The 21,175-nt window shown below is 35.3% G+C and overlaps 1 protein-coding gene across 5 annotated transcripts in view; it reads right to left on the bottom strand.

The window, feature by feature from the left end:
- Nucleotides 1-21,175, bottom strand: part of LUZP2 (leucine zipper protein 2) — a 585,586-nt gene that overhangs the window by 152,301 nt on the left and 412,110 nt on the right. For 4 of the 5 annotated variants that reach the window (NM_001009909.4, NM_001252008.2, XM_047426868.1 and 1 more), the window contains exon 7: nt 15,800-15,862. The exons of the other annotated variant lie outside the window; for it this stretch is intronic. In NM_001009909.4, coding sequence (NP_001009909.2) covers nt 15,800-15,862 — 63 coding nt within the window. The remainder of the gene's footprint in view (nt 1-15,799; nt 15,863-21,175) is intronic. 5 annotated transcript variants of the gene reach the window in all.

The following is a 21,175-nucleotide window of genomic DNA, read 5'->3' as shown; positions in this document are numbered from 1 at the left end:
CATAAATTTCACAGGACTCATACAACAATAACACAATGAAAAAAAACGTATTCAGGCAACAAATAGCATGATGACTAGAATAGTACCGCACATCTCAATAGTAACATTGAATGTGAATGGCCTAAATGCTTCACTTAAAAGGCATAGAATGGCAGAATGCACAAACATTCACCAACCAAGTATCTACTATCTTCAAGAGACTCACCCAACACAAAAAGACTCAAATAAACTTAAGGTAAGGGGGTGGAATAAGACATTTCATGCAAATGAACACCAAAAGTGAACAACAGTAGCTATTCTTATATCAGACAAACAAACTTTAAAGTAGCAGCAGTGAAAAAAGTCGAAGACAGACATTATCTCATGATAACAGGACTTGCCCTACAGGGAAATGTCACAATTCTAAATATATAAGCACCTAACACTGGAGCTCCCAAATTTATAAGACGATAACTACTGATAAGTACTATACCTCAGAAATTATATAGACAGCACGACAATAATAGTAGAACACTTCAGTACCCCACTGACAGCACTAGACAGGTCATCAGGAGAGAAAGTCAACAAATAACAAATGGACTTAAACTATACCCTAGAACAAATGGACTTAACAGATATTTACAGAACATTGTACCAAACCATTGCAGAATATATACTCTATTCATTGGCACATGGAACATTCTCCAAGATAGACCATATGACGGGCCACAAAACAAGTGTCAGTCAATTTAAGAAAATCAAAATTATGTCAAGTACTCTCTCAGAAAACAGTGGAATGAAATTGGAATTCAACTCCAGAAGGAACCCTCAACACCATACAATTGCAAGGAAATTAAATAACCTACTCCTCAATGATCACTGGGTAAACAATGATATCAAGATGGAAATTTAAAAATTCTTTGAACTGAATGATAATAGTGATATAACCAACAAAAACCTCTGGGATACAGCAAAGGCAGTAATAAGAGGAAAGTTCATAGCATTAAATGCCTACATAAAAAAGTTTGGAAAAGCACAAATAGACAATCTAAGGTCACACCTCAAGGAACTAGAGAAACAAGAACAAATCAAACTTGAACCCAGCAGAAGAAAAGAAATAACAAAGAACAAAACAGATTTAAATGAAATTAAAACAAACAATACAAAAGATAAGCAAAAAGCTGATTTTTTGAAAAGATAAATAAAATTGATAGACCATTAGCAAGGTTAACCAAGAAGAGACAATCCAAATAAGCTTAATCAGAAATGAAAGGGGATATATTATAACTGATACCACAGAAATACAAAAGATCATTCATTCAAGCCTACTATGAACACCTTTACATGCATAAACTAGAAAACCTAGAGGAAATATTTAAATTCCTGGAAATATACAACCTTCTGAGATTAAACTGGGAAAAAATAGAAACTCTGAAGAGACCAATAACAAGCAGTGAAACGGAAATTGTAATAAAATATTGCAAACAACACAACAAAATCCAGGATCAGACAGATTCACAGCTGAATTCTATAAGACATTCAAAGAAGAATTGGTACCAATCTTATTTGCACTATTCCAAAATGTTAAGAAAGAGGAAATCCACTCTAAATCATTCTATGAATCCAGTATCACAGTAATACCAAAACCAGAAAAGGACATAACATTTTAAAAACTACACACCAAAATCCTTGATGAACACAGATGCAAAAATCCTTAACAAAATACTAGCTAACAAAATCCAACAGTATTTCAAAAAGATAATCCACCATGACAAACTGGGTTTCATACCAGGGATGCAGGGATGGTTTAACATATACAAATTAATAAATGTGATACATTACACAGGAAGAATTTTTCTAAAAAATTACATGATCACCTTAATAGACACAGAAAAAAACATTTGACAAAATCCAGCATCCCTTTATGATTATAACCCTAAGCAAAATCAGCATAGAAGGAACATACCTTAATGTAATAAAAGCCATCTATGAGGACAAACACAGTACTAAACAAGGAGAAGTTGAAAGCATTCCTCCTGAGAACTGGAACAAAACGAGGGTGTCTACTTTCCCCATTTCTACTGAACATAGTACTGGAAGTTCTAGCCAGGGCAATCAGACAAGAGAAAGAAATAAAGGGCATCCAAATTGGTAAAGAGGAAGTCAAACTGCTGCTGTTTGCTGATGGTATGATTTTATAAAAAACCCTAAGGACTCCTCCAAAAAGCTCCTAGAACTGATAATTAAATTCAGCAAAGTTTCAGGATACAAAATAAATGTACACAAATCAGTAGCTCTGCCATACATCAACAGTGATCAAACTGATAAATAAATCAAGAACTCAACTTTTTTTTTACAATAGCTGCAAGAAAAATAAAATACATAGGAATATACCTAACCAAGGAGGTGAAAGGTCTCTACAAGGAAAACTACAAAGCAGTGCTGAAAGAAATCATAGACAAAACAAACAAATGAAAAGACATCCCATGCTCATGGATGGGTAGAATCAATATCGTGATAATGACCATACCACCAAAAGCCACTTACAAATTCAGTGTAATTTCCATCAAAATACCACCATCATTCTTCACAAAAGTAGAAAAAAATTTCTAAAATTTATATGGAACCAAAAGAAGCCCACATAGCCAAAGCCAGACTAAGCAAAAAGAACAAATCTGGAGGCACCACATTACCTGACTTCAAACTATACTCTAAGGCCATAGTCACCAAAACAACATGGTACTGGTATAAAAATAGTTATATAGACCAATGCAACAGAATATAAAACTAAGAAATAAAGCCAAATACTTACAGTCAACTGATCTTTGACAAAGCAAACAAAACATAAAGTGGGGAAAGGACACCCTAATATACAAATAAGCCACATAATAGGAGAATGAAACTGGATACTCCTCTCACCGTATACAAAAATCAACTCAAGATGGATCAAATAGTTAAATCTAAGACCTGAAGCCATAAAAATTCTAGAGGATAACATTGGAAAAACCCTTCTAGACACTGGCTTAGGCAAAGACTTCATGACCAAGAAACCAAAAGCAAATGCAACAAAAACAAAGATAAATAGATGGAACTTAATTCAAATAAAAAGCTTCAGCACAGCAAAAGAAACAATCAGCAAATAGATAACCCAAAGAGTAAGAAAATATCTTCACAATCTATATTTTTGTATTTTTGACAAAGGATTAATATCCAGAATCTATGAGGAACTCAAACAAATCAACAAGAAAAAAGAAAAAAAAAAAGATCCCATCAAAATTTGGCTAAGAACATGAATAGAAAATTCTCAAAAGGAGATACAGAAATGGCCAACAAACATATAAGAAAATACTCAACATTTCTAAAAATCAGAGAAATACAAATTAAAACCATAATGTGATACTGTGATACTACTTTATTCCTGCAAGAATGGTCATAATCAAAAAATAAAAAAAAAATAGTTGTTGGTGTGAATGTGGTGAAAAGGGAACACTTTTTACACTGCTGGTGGGAATTTGAACTACTACAACCACTATGAGAAACAGTGTGGGGATTCCTTAAAGGAACTAAATGTAGATCTACCATTTGATCCAGCAATCCCACCCCTGGGCATCTAACCACAGGAAAAGAAGTCATTATGCAAAAAAGATACTTGCACACACGTTTATAGCAGCAACACACACACACACACACATATATATATACACACACATATATATATATACATATATACACACATATATATATACATATATACACACATATATATACACACATATATATACACGTATATATATACACACACATATATATACACGTATATATATACACACACATATATACACGTATATACACACACATATATACACATATATATACACACACATATATACACGTATATATATACACACACATATATACACGTATATATATACACACATATATATACACACGTATATATATATACACACGTATATATATACACACGTATATATATATACACACGTATATATATACACACGTATATATATATACACACACGTATATATATACACACGTATATATATACACACGTATATATATATACACGTATATATATACACACACGTATATATATACACACACATATATATATACACGTATATATATATATACACACATATATATATACACATATATATAACATTGCCTTTATGCACTTATTGATTTATGGGCCTTTGGGCTGGTTCCATAGGTATGTATACACACACAAACACACACCATGGGATACTCATCAGCCATAAAAAGGAACAAAATAATAGCATTTGCAGCAACCTGGATGGATTTGGAGACCATCATTCTAAGTGAAGTAACTCAGGAATGGAAACCAAACAACGTATATTCTCTCATAAGTGGGAGCTAAGCTAGGAGGATGCAAATGCATAAGAATAATACAATGGACTTTGGGGACTCAAAAGAAAAAGTGCGAGGGAGGTGAGGGATAAATGACTACACATTGGGTACAGTGTACTCTGCTTGGGTGATGGATGCACCAAAATCTCAGAAATCACCACTAACAAACTAATTCATGTAAGCAAACACCACCTGATCCTCAAAATCCTATTGAAATAAAAAAATTAAATTAAAAAAATAATTAAAATAATTTTAAAAATAAATTTCGATACTTTTAGTCATTCTATTTGAAGAATTCTCACATTTTGGAGAAAAAAATTCATGTTTATTAGAATTTCACTTGTCATTGTTTCTGATAAGAAATGTGTGAACTTTTAAAACCTGCATCTCCTCTCCATTAGCTAGTGAATAATGAAAAAAATAAGTGAGGCTAGTAGGCTTTTGTGCTTTAAGCATGCAAGGAATAAGGCTACAAAGTTGGGTTGATTTTGACAAGCCAATTTACTTTCTCTTGTTTCTTATGCACAGAATTTACTTCTAAGCTGTTGGTTCTTTTAAACTGGTAGAGTATAGGAGCCAAAAATAAAACTCTAAGCCCCCTGACCAATTGAATGGACTTTCCTTTTGGCCAAGGGCATTCCTAAATTAACCTGAAAAATTAGTTCAGGCCAAGATGAGAAGATGGGGGTCAGACATGCCTCATTATCCTCTCTTCCTGTTGAAATCCAGGCACAGCTGTCCAGCATTTACCACTAAAATAGAAACCTTAAGACTGGCAAAGCAGACTCTTTGTAGCAATAAGAGATACCAACATGATAAATAGTAGGCCCTGAAATAAATTAAAATATTTTACCACAAAATATATTTCTTTGACGTATTTTGAAATGGCCATGCAAAGCTGTCTATTGTGGGAAAAAATCTATATTCTGTAAAGAATCCTTTTCCCTTTCCAGATTTTTTTTTCTGAGCCAGGAGAGAATTAACTAAGAGTTTGGCACCATAAGTTTGATAGACTTTTACAATCTATTCTCTCTGAATCCTGCTACATAGAGGCTTCATCTGCATATTAAAAAATTTAGTATCCACAAACCCTTATCTTAACATTGACACTGACTTCTGTTGATTCCAGGTCTTTAGATAAACTCTTTTAACCAATTGCCAATCAGGAAATCTTTAAATCCACCTATCATCTCCCTAGCCTAAGCTTCAAGTTGTTCCACCTTTCTGAACTGAACCAATGAACATCTTACATGTATGTATTATATCTCCCTAAAATGTATAAAACCAAGCTGTAGCTCAACCACCTTGAGCACACATTCTCAGGATTTTCTAAGGCTGTGTCACAGGTATGCCCTTAACCTTGGCAAAATAAACTTCTAAATTAATTGAAACCAGTCTCATATACTTTTTGATTTACAGGTGGATTTTGCCAAGGTTGAGTAAATGTCCAGGAAAAAGGATCATAAAATCACAGAAACATCTGTGATCTGTGCTTCTTCCAAACAGCATTTGGGAGATTTCAACATTCTACGGGCAGGAACGGGCAGTAAAGAGGAAAGTAAAAAGGGGAGAGTAAATAAAAGGGGCAAGCGGGCTGGGTGCGGTGGCTCACGCCTGTAATCCCAGCAATTTGGGAGGCAGAGGCGGGCAGATCACCTGAGGTCAGGAGACCGAGACCATCCTTGCCAACATGGTGAAACCCCATCTCTACTAAAAATACAAAAATTAGCTGGGCGTGGTGGCACGTGCCTGTAGTCCCAGCTACTTGGGAGGCTGAGGCAGGAGAGTCACTTGAACGCGGGAGGCAGAGGTTGCAGTGAGCCGAGATCACGCCACTGCACTCCAGCCTGGCGACAAAATGAGACTCCGTCTCAATTAAAGAAAAAAAAAAGCCGGGGAGTGGGGGCTGGGTGTGGGGGGGCAAGCAGTTGCATTCTTTTGAGGCTTTGATCAGCCCTCACTGAATCCATATTTTAAACGAAGAAAGAGAGGGTAGAATAACAGTCAACGAGGTATTCATCTCCTTCTTAGTGAATCTGCATTTTTACTTAAGATAAAGTAAACACAGAGTAGAGGAAGCAGCAAAATATGAATTCATCTCAAGTGAGCTGAGAGATGACTCCTAGTCCTATTTTTGTCCCTTACCTGTGAAAATAAGCTATTCATTTACATTGTCAGGGTGACTTTCAACCATTTTAGGATAAAGACCTTGGGGCCCACAAGGAATTATCTTGTAAGCACATTGAGAGGGAGCACCCTGGGGAAGTTTGTAGCCTGTCTTTTTTTCTCGTCTGTGCCAGGCTGGAGTGCAGTGGCGCGATCTTGGCTCACTGCAACCTCTGCCTCCCGGATTCAAGTGATACTCCTGCCTCAGCCTCCCAAGTAGTTGGGACTACAGGCATGCGCCACCAAGCCCAGCTAATTTTTGTATTTTTAATAGAGACGATGTTTCACCGTGTTGACCAGGATGGTCTCAATCTCCTGACCTCAGGTGATACCCCCACCTCGGCCTCCCAAAGTGCCAGGATTACAGGCGTGAGACACCGCGCCCAGCCGAATCCTGTCTTTGTAGCTATGGCTTCAAGACAAAATGGGAGGCAGTTTGGAGAGACTCAGTTTTCAAGTTTGACTTTTTCCTTTGGCAAATTGAGTTTGGGGACCGAAGATTTTGATTTTTCTTTCACAGATCTTTGAGTACATTAGAAGAAATAACTTCTAAAAGATATAATCTGTAAATCACCTTAAAATACAAAGTAGAAATTAAGCTAGGAAAAATACGATATCGTGGAATCAAAATACTTCGATTAAGATATAACTGTGCTGGCCGGGCGCGGTGGCTCACGCCGGTCATCCCAGAACTTTGGGAGGCCGAAGCAGGCGGATCACGAGGTCAGGAGATCGAGACCATCCTGGCTAAAACCGTGAAACCCTGTCTCTACCAAAAATACAAAAAATTAGCTAGGCGTGGTGGCGGGTGCCTGTAATCCCAGCTACTCAGGAGGCTGAGGCAGGAGAATGGCATGAACCCGGGAGGCGGAGCTTTCAGTAAGCCGAGATCGTGCCACTGCACTCCAGCCTGGGCAATGGAGCGAGACTCCCTCTAAAAAAAAAAAAAAAAAAAAAAAAAAAAAAGAAAAAAAAAAAGATATAACTGTGCCACTTGGTAGTCCCATAATTTCAGAAAACTCTTATAACTTCTCTGGGTCTTGGTTTTCTAATCCATAAGATAACAATATTGTCTTCCCTGTCTGACTCATATAATTATTTTGACGCACAAATGAATGTGATTTGACAAGCTTACAGCTTCTGGAATCATGTAAGAAAATAATATTGTTAACCCCTCACACCTCATTTGTAAGTTGCCTACATTTTGGCACCAAACCTCATTTAACTGGAAATAAATTCACACTTGTTAGAAGTAAATGGCACTGAAAAGCATTTTGCTCATTAAAAATTAGTTTAACATGTGGATGACATAAGTTTAAATTAATGAGACAGATGCACAAAAATTAAATTACTCAAGAGTTTAAAAATTAAGGAAAAACTACTTTACAAAATTCCCTTATAGATATCTGGAATCATCAGGAAATAATCTGACACTCTGTTATACATACATGGAAATTCAGGTTGCAATGCCCTCTCTTCAAGAGCAGATGACAATAGAGGTACCAAATTAAATAACTCTAGATTTAGAGAAAATAACAATGATGACACATGCCACTGTGGTGTCTGAATTTCAGCAGGTATGAGTGCATCTAGTCTATCACCACACATTCCAGAACAATTAAGACAGTATTTTAATCCAATGATATAAACATATGCTATAGGGATAGTTATCAAAGGACTAAGTATAAAACCCTGCAAATGTACTTAATTCATGATGCCCCAACAGGTCAGCTCTACTTAAAAAAAAAATAATTAATATCCATGGCGATAGCTTCACTCTGCTAGTAAAAATGCTTTACAGGTAACATGTTAGTGGCCACAAATGTCAAATTCCTCTAGACTTCAATTCTTTCATTGTGAAAGAGATCACATAAATTTTCCTGTCTCATAGGGGTTGTGTTGAGGGTCAAATGAAGTGACACATTACAGACCTGAGTAAAGTAAAAACGCTAAATATATACGGTACTCCTCTGATTACACAGGGAATTGATTCCAGGAACTCCACGGACACCAAAATCTGTAGACATTCAAATCTCATATTTAAAATGACATATTATATGCATTTAATATATGCACATCTTCCTGTATATGTTTTAATGCCTAGATTGCATATAATACTAATATAGGAGTTATTAAGAAATAATTTTTAGGGAGAAAGTAAGGGTAAAGGTTCTCAGTGGAAATGTTCCTGTAATAAAAAATAACCCCCAAACCATTTCTTTTCTAACAAAAATGCGGCTTTAAAAGCCAGGCTGGCAAGCTGTAATACGCACATGCCGGCGATTAGAAAGTAGGTCCACCTAACATGGACAACATGGCAATTCCCGCCATCTTCTCCTTGTCGCCACCTGTGCCAAGTGTAATGGCCACCTCCAGATAACACCAGGTGTTCAGAACATCATGGCGACCCTCATTTGCATATTAAAGGACTAAGGTGGGAGGGCCAGGTTTCTGGAAGCTACATAAATGACACACCTGGTCAAACCAATCCCCTGGGCCCTGTGCAAACAAAACACCGCCTCCTCCAGCATCCCAATATAAGCAACCACTTTTCTGCCGCACATGTGGTTCCTCTTTGTTCCGAGCCCCCCTCCCTCTGTCTCTGTATGGGGGAGCTGTTTTCTTCTTTCTTTCTTCTTTCCTGCCTATTAAACTTTTCATTCCTAAAACCACTCCACCTGTGTCCCTGTCGTTAATCCTATCAGTGGGAGACCAAGAACCCTGGTGTTCCCCCAGTCATCAAAGCCATATTAATACCTAATACAATGTAAGTGCTATGTAAATATTGTATTTTTACTGTATTATTTTTAATGGATATATTATTTTTATGTGTTTTTAAAAATATTTTCTTTTTTATTTGTATACATTTAAGGGGTGTAAGTGCAATTTTGTTACATGAATATATTGCATTGTGGTGATGTCTGGGCTTTCAGTGTATCCATCACTCAAATAATGTACATGATACACATTAAATAATTTCTCATCTTCCAGTACCTTCCTTCCCCACAACCCTTCTGAGTACTCATTATCCATCATTCCATACTCTATGTCCATGTGTACACATTATTTAGCTTCCATTTTTAAGTGAGAACATGCAGGTTTTTTTTTTTATTTCTGTGTCTGGGTTGTTTCACTTAATTAAGATAATGGCCTCCAGTTTCACCTGTATTGCTGCAAAAGACATGATTTTATTTTTTATAGTTGAATAGCATTCCATATGTGTACATATGCCACATTTCTTTATCATCTGTTGATGAATATTACAATTGATTCTGTATATTTCCTACTGTGAATAGTACTGTGATAAACCTGTGAGTGCAGATAAGTTTTGATTTAATTATTTCTTTTTGGGGGAGTAGATACCCAACAGTGAGATTGCTGAGTTAAATTTTGTTCAAATATTTTTGATTCACAGTTGTATGCATATAGAAACTAACAATACACAGGGAAAAATGTATCACTATAGTATATTTTTAATAACTGGACTACCAATTCCCTGAAGCAGTAATTTAACTAAGCCACTATTTTATTTCAAACACTGAATGACACATGGTATTTTAAAATTGTTTTTATTCAATAAACAACAAACACAATCACAAAACTATCAAAATGTCTGCCATTATGTATCTCAACAGAGAAGTTGATAGATTGAATTTTTTGTGACTTGGGAGTATTGTAAACATTGTTTTTAATTTACCCCTACCTCCCCAAAAAAGTAAGCAAAGAAAATCAAGTGACTTAAATCTTTAAACCATCCAATAATAAAATTTAAAATCAAAATAATCATTTTACTTTATAATCTCTTAAAGGAACACAACTTGTCATGGTTGTGTAGGACTTATTCATTCATAAAATTTCTTAGCTAACCAATTATTTATTTTTGTTTCTTTAATAAAACATCCAGTATAAAATAATTCTTAAATTCAACATTTCTCTTGTTATTATTGTACTGATGGGAGAGTAAACTATTGTATTTCTTTTGAAAATCACCTGTACTAGGTAGCAATAATTAATATTTTAAAATAATTTTCATGAACTACTTGATAGTTAGATAAATGTTTCATAAAAACTATAACTCAAGTTAAAAATAAGAAAGGATTTTTCATCATAATGTAAATTTAAATCATTATATATATATGTATGCATGTATAAACATACCTACACATAAGTGAAAGGTTAAGTAACCTTTGGTATATCTACATAAAATTAAAAGCTATCCTGTGTATTTAAATTAAAAATTATGAATATATATAAAGAATACATATACAGTATATATATAAAGAATATATAGATTATGAATATATATAAAGAATATATATTATATATAATATATAACATATATTATCAATATATGTCATATATAATATATAACATATATTATCAATATATGTCATATATAATATATAACATATATTATCAATATATGTCATATATAATATATAACATATATTATCAATATATGTCATATATAATATATAACATATATTATCAATATATGTCATATATAATATATAACATATATTATCAATATATGTCATATATAATATATAACATATATTATCAATATATGTCATATATAATATATAACATATATTATCAATATATGTCATATATAACTATATATAACATATATTATCAATATATATCATATATAACTATATATAACATATATATAACTATATGTAATACATATTATGGATATATAGTATATATAACTATATGTAATACATATTATGGATATATAGTATATATAACTATATATAATACATATTATGGATATATAGTATATATAACTATATATAATACATATTATGGATATATAGTATATATAACTATATATAATACATATTATGGATATATAGTATATATAACTATATATAATACATATTATGGATATATATTATATATAACTATATATAATATATATTATGGATATATATAAAGAACATATATATATAGATGTATTCCAATGGAGATATATGTGTATATATATCAATGACCAGGCAGATATAATTCATACAAAGGGAAATAGACAGAAATATAAAATATGTTAAAATATTGTTTGCATTTGCTCTGGTGACGGGATTTTAAGTTTGGCTTTATATTTTTTGACACTTTTTTGAAATTTTTCTTCAATGATAAATAATATTTAGGATTTTTTTTTTAAAGAATTACATTTGTCAAATCTAAAAAAAGCATGATTTTGGCTGTGGGTTTGTCATAAATAGCTCTTATTATTTTGAGATACGTCCCATCAATACCTAATTTATTGAGAGTTTTTAGCATGAAGCACTGTTGAATTTTGTCAAAGGCCTTTTCTGCATCTACTGAGATAATCATGTGCAAACCTACTGAATCGGCAAAAACTGGAAGCATTCCCTTTGAAAACCGGCACAAGAGAGGGATGGCCTCTCTCACCACTCCTATTCAACATAGTGTTGGAAGTTCTGGCCAGGGCAATCAGGCAGGAGAAAGAAATAAAGGGTATTCAATTAGGAAAAGAAGAAGTCAAATTATCCCTCTTTGCAGATGACATGATTGTATATCTAGAAAACCCCATCGTCTCAGCGCAAAATCTCCATAAGCTGATAAGCAACTTCAGCAAAGTCTCAGGATGCAAAATCAATGTCCAAAAATCACAAGCATTCTTATACACCAATAACAGACAAACAGAGAGCCAAATCATGAGTGAACTCCCATTCACAATTGCTTCAAAGAGAATACAATACCTAGGAATCCAACTTACAAGGGATGTGAAGGACCTCTTCAAGGAGAACTACAAACCACTGCTCAACGAAATAAAAGAGGACACAAACAAATGGAAGAACATTCCATGCTCATGGGTAGGAAGAATCAATATCATGAAAATGGCCATACTGCCCAAGGTAATTTTTAGATTCAATATCATCCCCAGCAAGCTACCAATGACTTTCTTCACAGAATTGGAAAAAACTACTTTAAAGTTCATATGGAACCAAAAAAGAGCCCGCATTGCCAAGTCAATCCTAAGCCAAAAGAACAAAGCTGGAGACATCATGCTACCTGACTTAAAGTTATACTACAAGGCTACAGTAACCAAAACAGCATGGTACTGGTACCAAAACAGAGATATAGACCAATGGAACAGAACAGAGCCCTCAGAAATAATACCACACATCTACAACCATCTGATCTTTGACAAACCTGACAAAAACAAGAAATGGGGAAAAGATTCCCTATTTAATAAATGGTGCTGGGAAAACTGGCTAGCCATATGTAGAAAGCTAAAATTGGATCCCTTCCTTACACCTTATACAAAAATTAATTCAAGATGGATTAAAGACTTACATGTTAGACCTAAAACCATAAAAATCCTAGAAGAAAACCTAGGCAATACCATTCAGGACATAGGCATGGGCAAGGACTTCATGTCTAAAACACCAAAAGCAATGGCAACAAAAGTCAAAATTGACAAATGGGATCTAATCAAACTAAAAAGCTTCTGCACAGCAAAAATAAACTACCATCAAAGTGAACAGGCAACCTACAGAATGGGAGAAAATTTTTGCAATCTACTCATCTGTCAAAGGGCTAATATTCAGAATCTACAAAGAACTCAAACAAATTTACAAGAAAAAAACAAACAACCCCATCAAAATTGGGCAAAGGATATGAACAGACACTTCTCAAAAGAAGTCACTTACACAGCCAACAGACACATGAAAAAATGCTCATCATCACTGGCCATCAGAGAAATGCAAATCAAAACCACAATGAGATAGCATCTCACACCAGTTAGAATGGTGATCATTAAAAAGTCAGGAAACAACAGGTGCTGGAGAGGATGTGGAGAAATAGGAACACTTTAACACTGTTGATGGGACTGTCAACTAGTTCAACCACTGTGGAAGACAGTGTGGCCATTCCTCAGGGATCTAGAACTAGAAATACCATTTGCCCAGCCATCCCATTACTGGGTATATACCCAAAGGATCATAAATCATGCTGCTATAAAGATACATGCACACGTATGTTTATGGTATCACTATTCACAATAGCAAAGACTTGGAATCAACCCAAATGTCCATCAGTGATAGACTGGATTAAGAAAATGTGGCACATATACACCATGGAATACTATGCAGCCATATAAAAAGATGAGTTCATGTCCTTTGTAGGGACATGGATGAAGCTGGAAACTATCATTCTCAGCAAACTATCTCAAGGACAAAAAACCAAACACCACACGTTCTCACTCATAGGTGGGAACTGAACAGTGAGAACATGTGGACACAGGAAGGGGAACATCACACACCACAGCCTGTTGTGGGGTGGCAGGAGGGGGGAGGGATAGCATTAGGAAATACACCTAATGTAAATGATGAGTTAATGGGTGCAGCACACCAACAAGGCACATGTATACATAGTAACAAACTTGCACATTGTGAACATGTACCCTAGAACTTAAAGTATAATTTAAAAGAAAATAAAAAAAATAAAAAATAAAAAGAGCACTAAAATGGAGATTAGGTATTCTAGAGAATATATCAGCTCCAAATGGAATCAAGGAGGATATAAAGTAACTCAAGTCTCTGGGCAACTAACAGTCAGTTAGGCCTCACCTCTATCTTTAGTGAAGGATTTGTACTTCAGCTAAAAGCCTCTTCCAAGCTAAAGGCAGCTCTCAAGCATTAATAAGGGCACTTAATTCATCATTATGCCTTGCAAGTGCCAGCATGTGTCATTATTTTTAGGATGAAATGTAAATGTTTTGACAGCAAGCATTACTTCTTCAAAGTCTACATTTACTAAAAAAAATAAATAAATAAAAAATAAAATAAAATAAAATCTATTCAAAATTGAACATATCCTAAGGGGAAAGTATGTGAAATAGAATCTACTACTCATCTCAGGGTTCACCAGTTTGTCAACTCATTTTCAAAGGTGCATGGCTGAATGTCTGTGTTAATAGATACTTTTGTGCTATTAGGTTGGTGCAAGAGTAATTGTGGTTTTTACCATTTTTTTTTAATGGCAAGAACCTCAGTTACTCTTGCACTAACCTAACAGTTGAGTTTCTACTGTCTACTTCCTTGACACATCTATCTATCTACCTATCTAATCTATCTATCTATCTATCCATCTATCTATCTATCATCTATCTATCTATCTGTCTATCATCAACATATGTTTATTCAAGACTTAAACCCACAGCAACTCCCTTTCTATTACTTATCTGTAAAAGAAACAGTCTTTCACAATAGAATCTAAAATTGCTAAAAATGCTAAGGTTTTACCTTTGCATGGATGCATAACCTAGTTTGGAGAATCTTCTCGAAAAACTCTCCTCTTTCATAAAAAATAATGACCTTGAAGGACAAATGCCTCCTTTTTCTGCTTTGATTGTGTACATAGTTTGATGAAGACACAATATGTATATCTTTAGCGACCATCATGATTATATGAGGAACCAAGGTTTAGAATAAGTCAGTAAGTTGAGGGTTGTTATATGGAGTGATGTAGAGGACAATGAAAAACAAACCTGAGGTTTGTTGACACTGTTGAGCTATGAAATAAATCATAACATTGTCATGCTTCTGGCCCTTTTGTTATTTGAGTTAATGAAAGTCCTACAGTAGAACAGTTTTTGTGGGTATTGTATACATTAAAGGAATTCTAATTCATGCAACTTCATAGTCTCTTTGTATTCAGGTCTCCTGATTTCATAAAATGTAAAATAACATGAAATAACAAGGTTTACATACAATATATCTCATATTTTAAGTCATAAAAATTTTCAACAAGTCCTGATCTTGATAATATCTGAAAGTTGATGCATTACTAATCTATATTCAACTGGCATATTACATACAAGTAAAACACTGAATATTACTGAACTGTCTCATTGTCTTCTAACATTTCTTTCTAAAATTCTGATTTGAAAAATAAATTTAAAAGATTCAAAAGTCCTTGTATGATCTACCTTTGCGTAAGTCTCTCAGCTTAATATCTGCAGCTCATGAACTCTGGGGAACCAGGATTTGTTTTATACACTCCTAACCTGCTGGAATGAGGCATGCTTTTGATTAAGAATGAATGTAGGAAATAATACTTCCACTTATCTCCATTAATTAAGTTGTCAAGAAAATGAAAGTATTTCTAATGCAGTCAAATGCAACTCCAATTCATGAGAAATTCCAGAAAATAAATTTAACCTAAATAATGTTTTTGATATTTTAGGTATTGAGCTAGCAAGTTTCAGGGAAAAGAGAGAAAAGAGACTCACCTTAAATAATAAATCCTTCTTCCCATAACGAAGCTCCTTCAGCTGGGCTTGGATTTTTTTTGACTGTAAGGCAAAAACATGGATAAGTTGTGTAACTCATTTATATTTTCAAACTTGAAGATTAAAATACTTTCAGACTTCACAGGAATACATTTTGCAGCCAAGCAAAGCACAGTCCAACCAGTTTAGAAGTAAAGCAGAAACCCTTAGCTCTGCTTTGAGAGTCAGACCTCTGGACAACCTAGGCAGAAAGAGAAAAACCGAAGCTTGTTTAAAACATGTTATTTAAAGAAAGTCGATTATTGTTCTTCCTCCAATCCACAACTAAACACACAAAATTTCTGTCACCCAGGCATGGCCAACAATCTAATTTTAGACGCTAATTATATCTGTACATATGCATGCCTCATTTTTTTTACTACTTATTTTCAATTACTTTTTTTAAATTAAATTAGAATAAATTTGAATTTGACATATGTCCAGGTAAAAGCAAATGTGATCGGAAGCAAGAAAAGCTGCTACAATACTAACATGCTGAGCTGAATGTTGTTTGCATTTTAGAGCAATACATTTTTTAAGAGGGCCATCACTAATAGGAAAATACTTAAAAAGAAAATCTTTCTCAGCAGTTTGCTTTGACTACCACATTTAATTACGGTCCCTTAAGTCACAGAGTTATGATCATGTATTTTGAATTTTTCAGGACAGTCCCAATTACTAACATTAAATATAAGGACTTCAGATTATTGTATTTCTGTACCTAAAATTATAGGTACTGATTCTTTACTCAGGCAAAAAACAAACAAACAGAAAAAGAAAACTACTACCACCAATAACCAATAACACACACACACACACACACACACACAAATAAATAGATTAGCATGATCACATGAAGGAAAAATTGATACTTAAAATGTATTTGAGTGGAATTATAAATTAGTATCATCATTTGGGGAAACTGACAGTTTCTGATAAAATTAAACATATGTACATTGCATTACACTGCAATATGTCCTAGGTAATTACCCAAGAAGAATTATAACATATACAAAAATGCTTATGGCATCTTTATTCATAATAGCCAAAAGCTAGATAAAGCATATATGTTTAATAAGAAATGAAGAGATAAATTGTAGTATATCCATGACATGGAGTACTAGACTACTGCTGAGCAATGAAAAAGGAATGAAGTACTGAATTATAGAACAACATGGACAAATTTCAAAAGCATTATACCATGTGAAAGAATCCAGTAACTAGAAGCTATATTTTGTACAATTCCATTTGGAAAACATTCTAAAAGGCAAACAAATAGGGACAGAAATCAGTTTAGTAGTTGACATGGGGATGAAGATTCAGTGTAATATAGCAAGAAGACATTTTGGAGGGTAATGAAAAAATTCTATGTTTTGAATCTATCCATTGGTCAAATCCATCAGACTGTACACTTAAACTAGATAAATCTCAATAAAATTAAATTTTATCTCAATGAAATTAAATTTTAAAAGCAGCTGGCTGCAGTAGGTAATAAACCCATGATCCTTATGTCACTATTACATGCTAGTAAACTGTGTTGATATACAAGCCCTTTTTTAATAAAGAATGTCTGCCTATATGGTAGAAATATAATTTTCCAAGCTTACAATGCATGTATATGTTTTCCACTGAACCAACTGCAAGTTTATTGTGATTCAGTTTTCTATAATATTCAGAACTTTTTTTTCTTGAGATGGAGTCTTGCTCTGTTGCCCAGGCTGGAGTGCAGTGGCGCATTCTCAGCTCACTGCAACCTCCGCCTCCTTGGTTCAAGCAATTCTCCTGCCTCAGCCTCCTGAGTAGCTGGGACTACAGGCGCACACCAGCATACCAGACTAATTTTTTTGTATTTTAGTAGAGACAGGGTTTCACTGTGTTGTCCAGGCTTGTCTCGAACTCCTGAGCTCAGGCAATCTGCCCACCTCAGCATCCCAAAGTGCTCGGATTACAGATGTGAGCCACCATGCCCAGCCCCAGAATATTTCTAATTATGCAGTGTACTCAATTTGTGAAGTTGGAGCTGTGTTATAATGGCACAATAATTTTTCAATCATTGTTCAATGCTATAAGTATGATTGATTCAAGTGGAAACTTGAATTTGTTGTCAATGATGCACCACTACAAGGTTCTAATATTGGAAACACAGTTTTTTCACAGATATTTCTATTATAAGTCACCTGCATTTCATGATCCATTGAATCAGGAAGTTAACAAGAAAGAACAAAAAGAAAACAAAATGAAATAAAATTAAAAAAAAAGAAAAGGAGACAGGAAGAGAAGGAGAGAGAAAGGGGGAGGTAAAGAGGAAGTGGGAGAGAGGAAAAGAAGGAAAGAGGAGGAAAGAGAGGAAGGAAGAGAGGAAAAAGGAAGGAAAGGAAAGGAAACGAAAGGAAAAGAAAGGAAACGAAAGGAAGGGTAAGTTAAGAGTGAGATATGTTAATAATTCTGTATCACTTAACTCTGTACAAAGCAGCAGCAAGAATTTATGGTTTCTCACAGGGTAATTGATTTGTTTTCATTTCCATAGAAAGTCACCTTTCTTTTGATATGGATACTGAAGGTGAAATGCATGATGCATAAGAAGAACAAAAAGACATGATTGAGTCTACCTAGTTGCCAATGGCTTTTATGAATGAAAACTCACATTGACCCCTCAGTACCTTGACTTTATTCTTCTACTTCAGAATCACATTTATTACATCACTGTCTGTCCTCACACAGCTTCCCAAGTGACTCAAAATAATATTTCAAGTACAGCATCTATGTCTTATTATGTTAATTTACTCTCTGTATTAGTCTGTTCTCACACTGCTATAAGGAAATACCTGAGACTGTGTAATTTATAAAGGAAAGAAGCTTAATTGACTCCGAGTTCTGCATGGCTGGGGAGGCCTCAGGACACTTATAATCATGGTGGAAGGCACCTCTTCACAGGGTGGCAGAAGAGAGAGTGAGTGCCAGCAGGGGAAATGCCAGATGCTTAAAAAACCATTGGATCTCCTGAGAACTCACTCACTATCAAGTGAACAGCATGGGAGAAACTGCCTCCAAAATTCAATTACCTCCCACCAGGACCCTCCTTTGAAATGTGGAGATTATGGGATTACAAATCAAGGTGAGATTTGGGTAAAAACAAAAAGCCAAACCACATCATTCTGTTCCAGCCCCTCCCAAATCTCATGTCCTCACATTTCAAAACAGTCCTTCCAACAGTCCCCCAAAGTCTTAACTCATTCCAGCTTTAACCCAAAAGTCCAAGTCCAACATCTCATCTGAGAACACAATTCCCTTCTGCCTATGAGCCTGTAAAATAGAAGCAAGTTAGTTACTTCCCAGATACAATGGGGGTACAGGCATTGGGTAAATATACCCATTCCAAATGAAGAAATTGGCCAAAACAAAGGGGCCACAGGCTCCATGCAATGCTGAAAGCCAATAGCGCAGTCATTAAACCTTAAAGTTCCAAAATTATCTCCTTTGACTCCATGTCTCACATCCAGGTTATGCTGATATACGAGGTGGACTCGCATAGCCTTGTGCAGCTGCACCCTGTGGATTTGCAAGGTACAGCCCCCCTCCTGGCTGCTTTCATGGGCTAGCATTGAGTGCCCATGCCTTTTCCAGGTGCACGGTGCAAGTTGTCGGTGGATCTACCATTCTGGAGTCTGGAGGACGGTGGCTCTCTCTTCTCACAGCTCCACTAGGCAGTGATGCGGTGGTGACTCTGTGTAGAACTCCAAACCCACATTTCCCTTCTGCACTTCCCTAGAAGAGGTTATCCATGTGGCTTCCGCCCCTGCAGGACATTTCTGCCTGGACATCCAGGCATTTCCATACCTCCTCTGAAATGTAGGTGGAGGTTCCCAAACCTCAATTCTTGACTTCTGTGTGCCCACAGGCTCAATACCACATGGAAGGCACCAAGGCTTGGTGCTTGCACCCTCTGAATTAATGGTCTGAGATGTACCGTGGCCCCTTTCAGCCACAGCTGGAGCTGAAGCAGACGGGATGCAGGGCATCATGTCCAGAGGCTGTACAGAGCAGGGAGGCCCTGGACCCAGCCCATGACACCATTTTTCCCTCCTAGACCTCTGGGCATATGATGGGAAGGGCTGCCATGAAGGTTTCCTTGTCCCTTGGAGACATTTTCCCCATTGTCTTGGTGATTAACATTGGGCTCCTCATTACTTATGCAAATTTCTGCCTTTGGCTTGAATTGCTCTCCAGAAAATGTTTTCTTTCTTTTTTTTTATTGCATTGTCAGTATGCAAATTTTCCAAACTTTCATGCTCCACTTCCTCTTGAACACTTTGCTGCTTATGAATTTCTTCCACCAGTTACCCTAAATTATCTCTCACAAGTTCGAAGTTCCACAGAACTCTAGGGCAGGGGCAAAATGCTGACAGTCTCTTTGCTACAGCATAGCAAGAATCACCTTTGTTCCAGTTCCCAACAAGTTCTTCATCTCCATCTGAGACCACCTCAGCCTGGACTTCATTGTCCATATCATTATCAGCATTTTGGTCAAACCATTTGTGAAGTCTCTAGGAAGTTCCAAACTACCCCACATCTTCTTGTTTTTTTCTGAGCTCTCCAAAGTGTTCCAACCTCTGCCTGTTAGCCAGTTCCAAAGTCGCTTCCACATTTTCAGGTATCATTACAGCAGCACCCCATTCCCTGTGGTGCCAATTTACTGTATTAGTCTGATCTCACACTGCTCATAAAGAAATACCTGAGACTGTGCAATTTACAAAGGAAAGAGTTTAATTGACTCACAATTCCACATGGCTGGGGAGGCCCTCTAAGATAATTCTGCTTTACATGGTTATCATTATTTTGTGCTGCTGATTTTAGAAAACAATAATTTATTAAATCTCTCACAATTTCAAATGCACAGTTGATTGGCATTTTCTCCCTGCTTTTCCAATCTGCTGTCTAGGACTCGTTTACAACCAGGTTTCTCAGGAAAACAGACTTTCTTCTTTTGTTTTTTTTTTTTCCCTCAAAATAATGTTGATGAATATCAAGGGAGAGTGGGAGATTACTACCACATATGGTGCACATGAGTTGCCAAACTGCATGTCAATTCTTCCACATAATTGATGCTCTATCTTTCAAGTGTCAGAATGGTTGCCTTTTAACAATTTGAGGTGTTCATTTTTAAAACATAATTAAAGTGCATATTCTGAATGTACAGAATATCATTTAAAATTTTCCACATAACTTGGAATTATTATCAAAACATCAATTATTCAATGATTCATTCAGGAACTACAATAAAACCTTCTGCATTTGATGGCCTTGAATGACTAGATTTTTTGAGCTTTGCTATAATTA

This window comes from Homo sapiens, chromosome 11 (genome assembly GCF_000001405.40).
Source record: "Homo sapiens chromosome 11, GRCh38.p14 Primary Assembly".
Taxonomy (NCBI): domain Eukaryota; kingdom Metazoa; phylum Chordata; class Mammalia; order Primates; family Hominidae; genus Homo; species Homo sapiens.
This window is presented reverse-complemented; position numbering and strand designations above follow the sequence as displayed.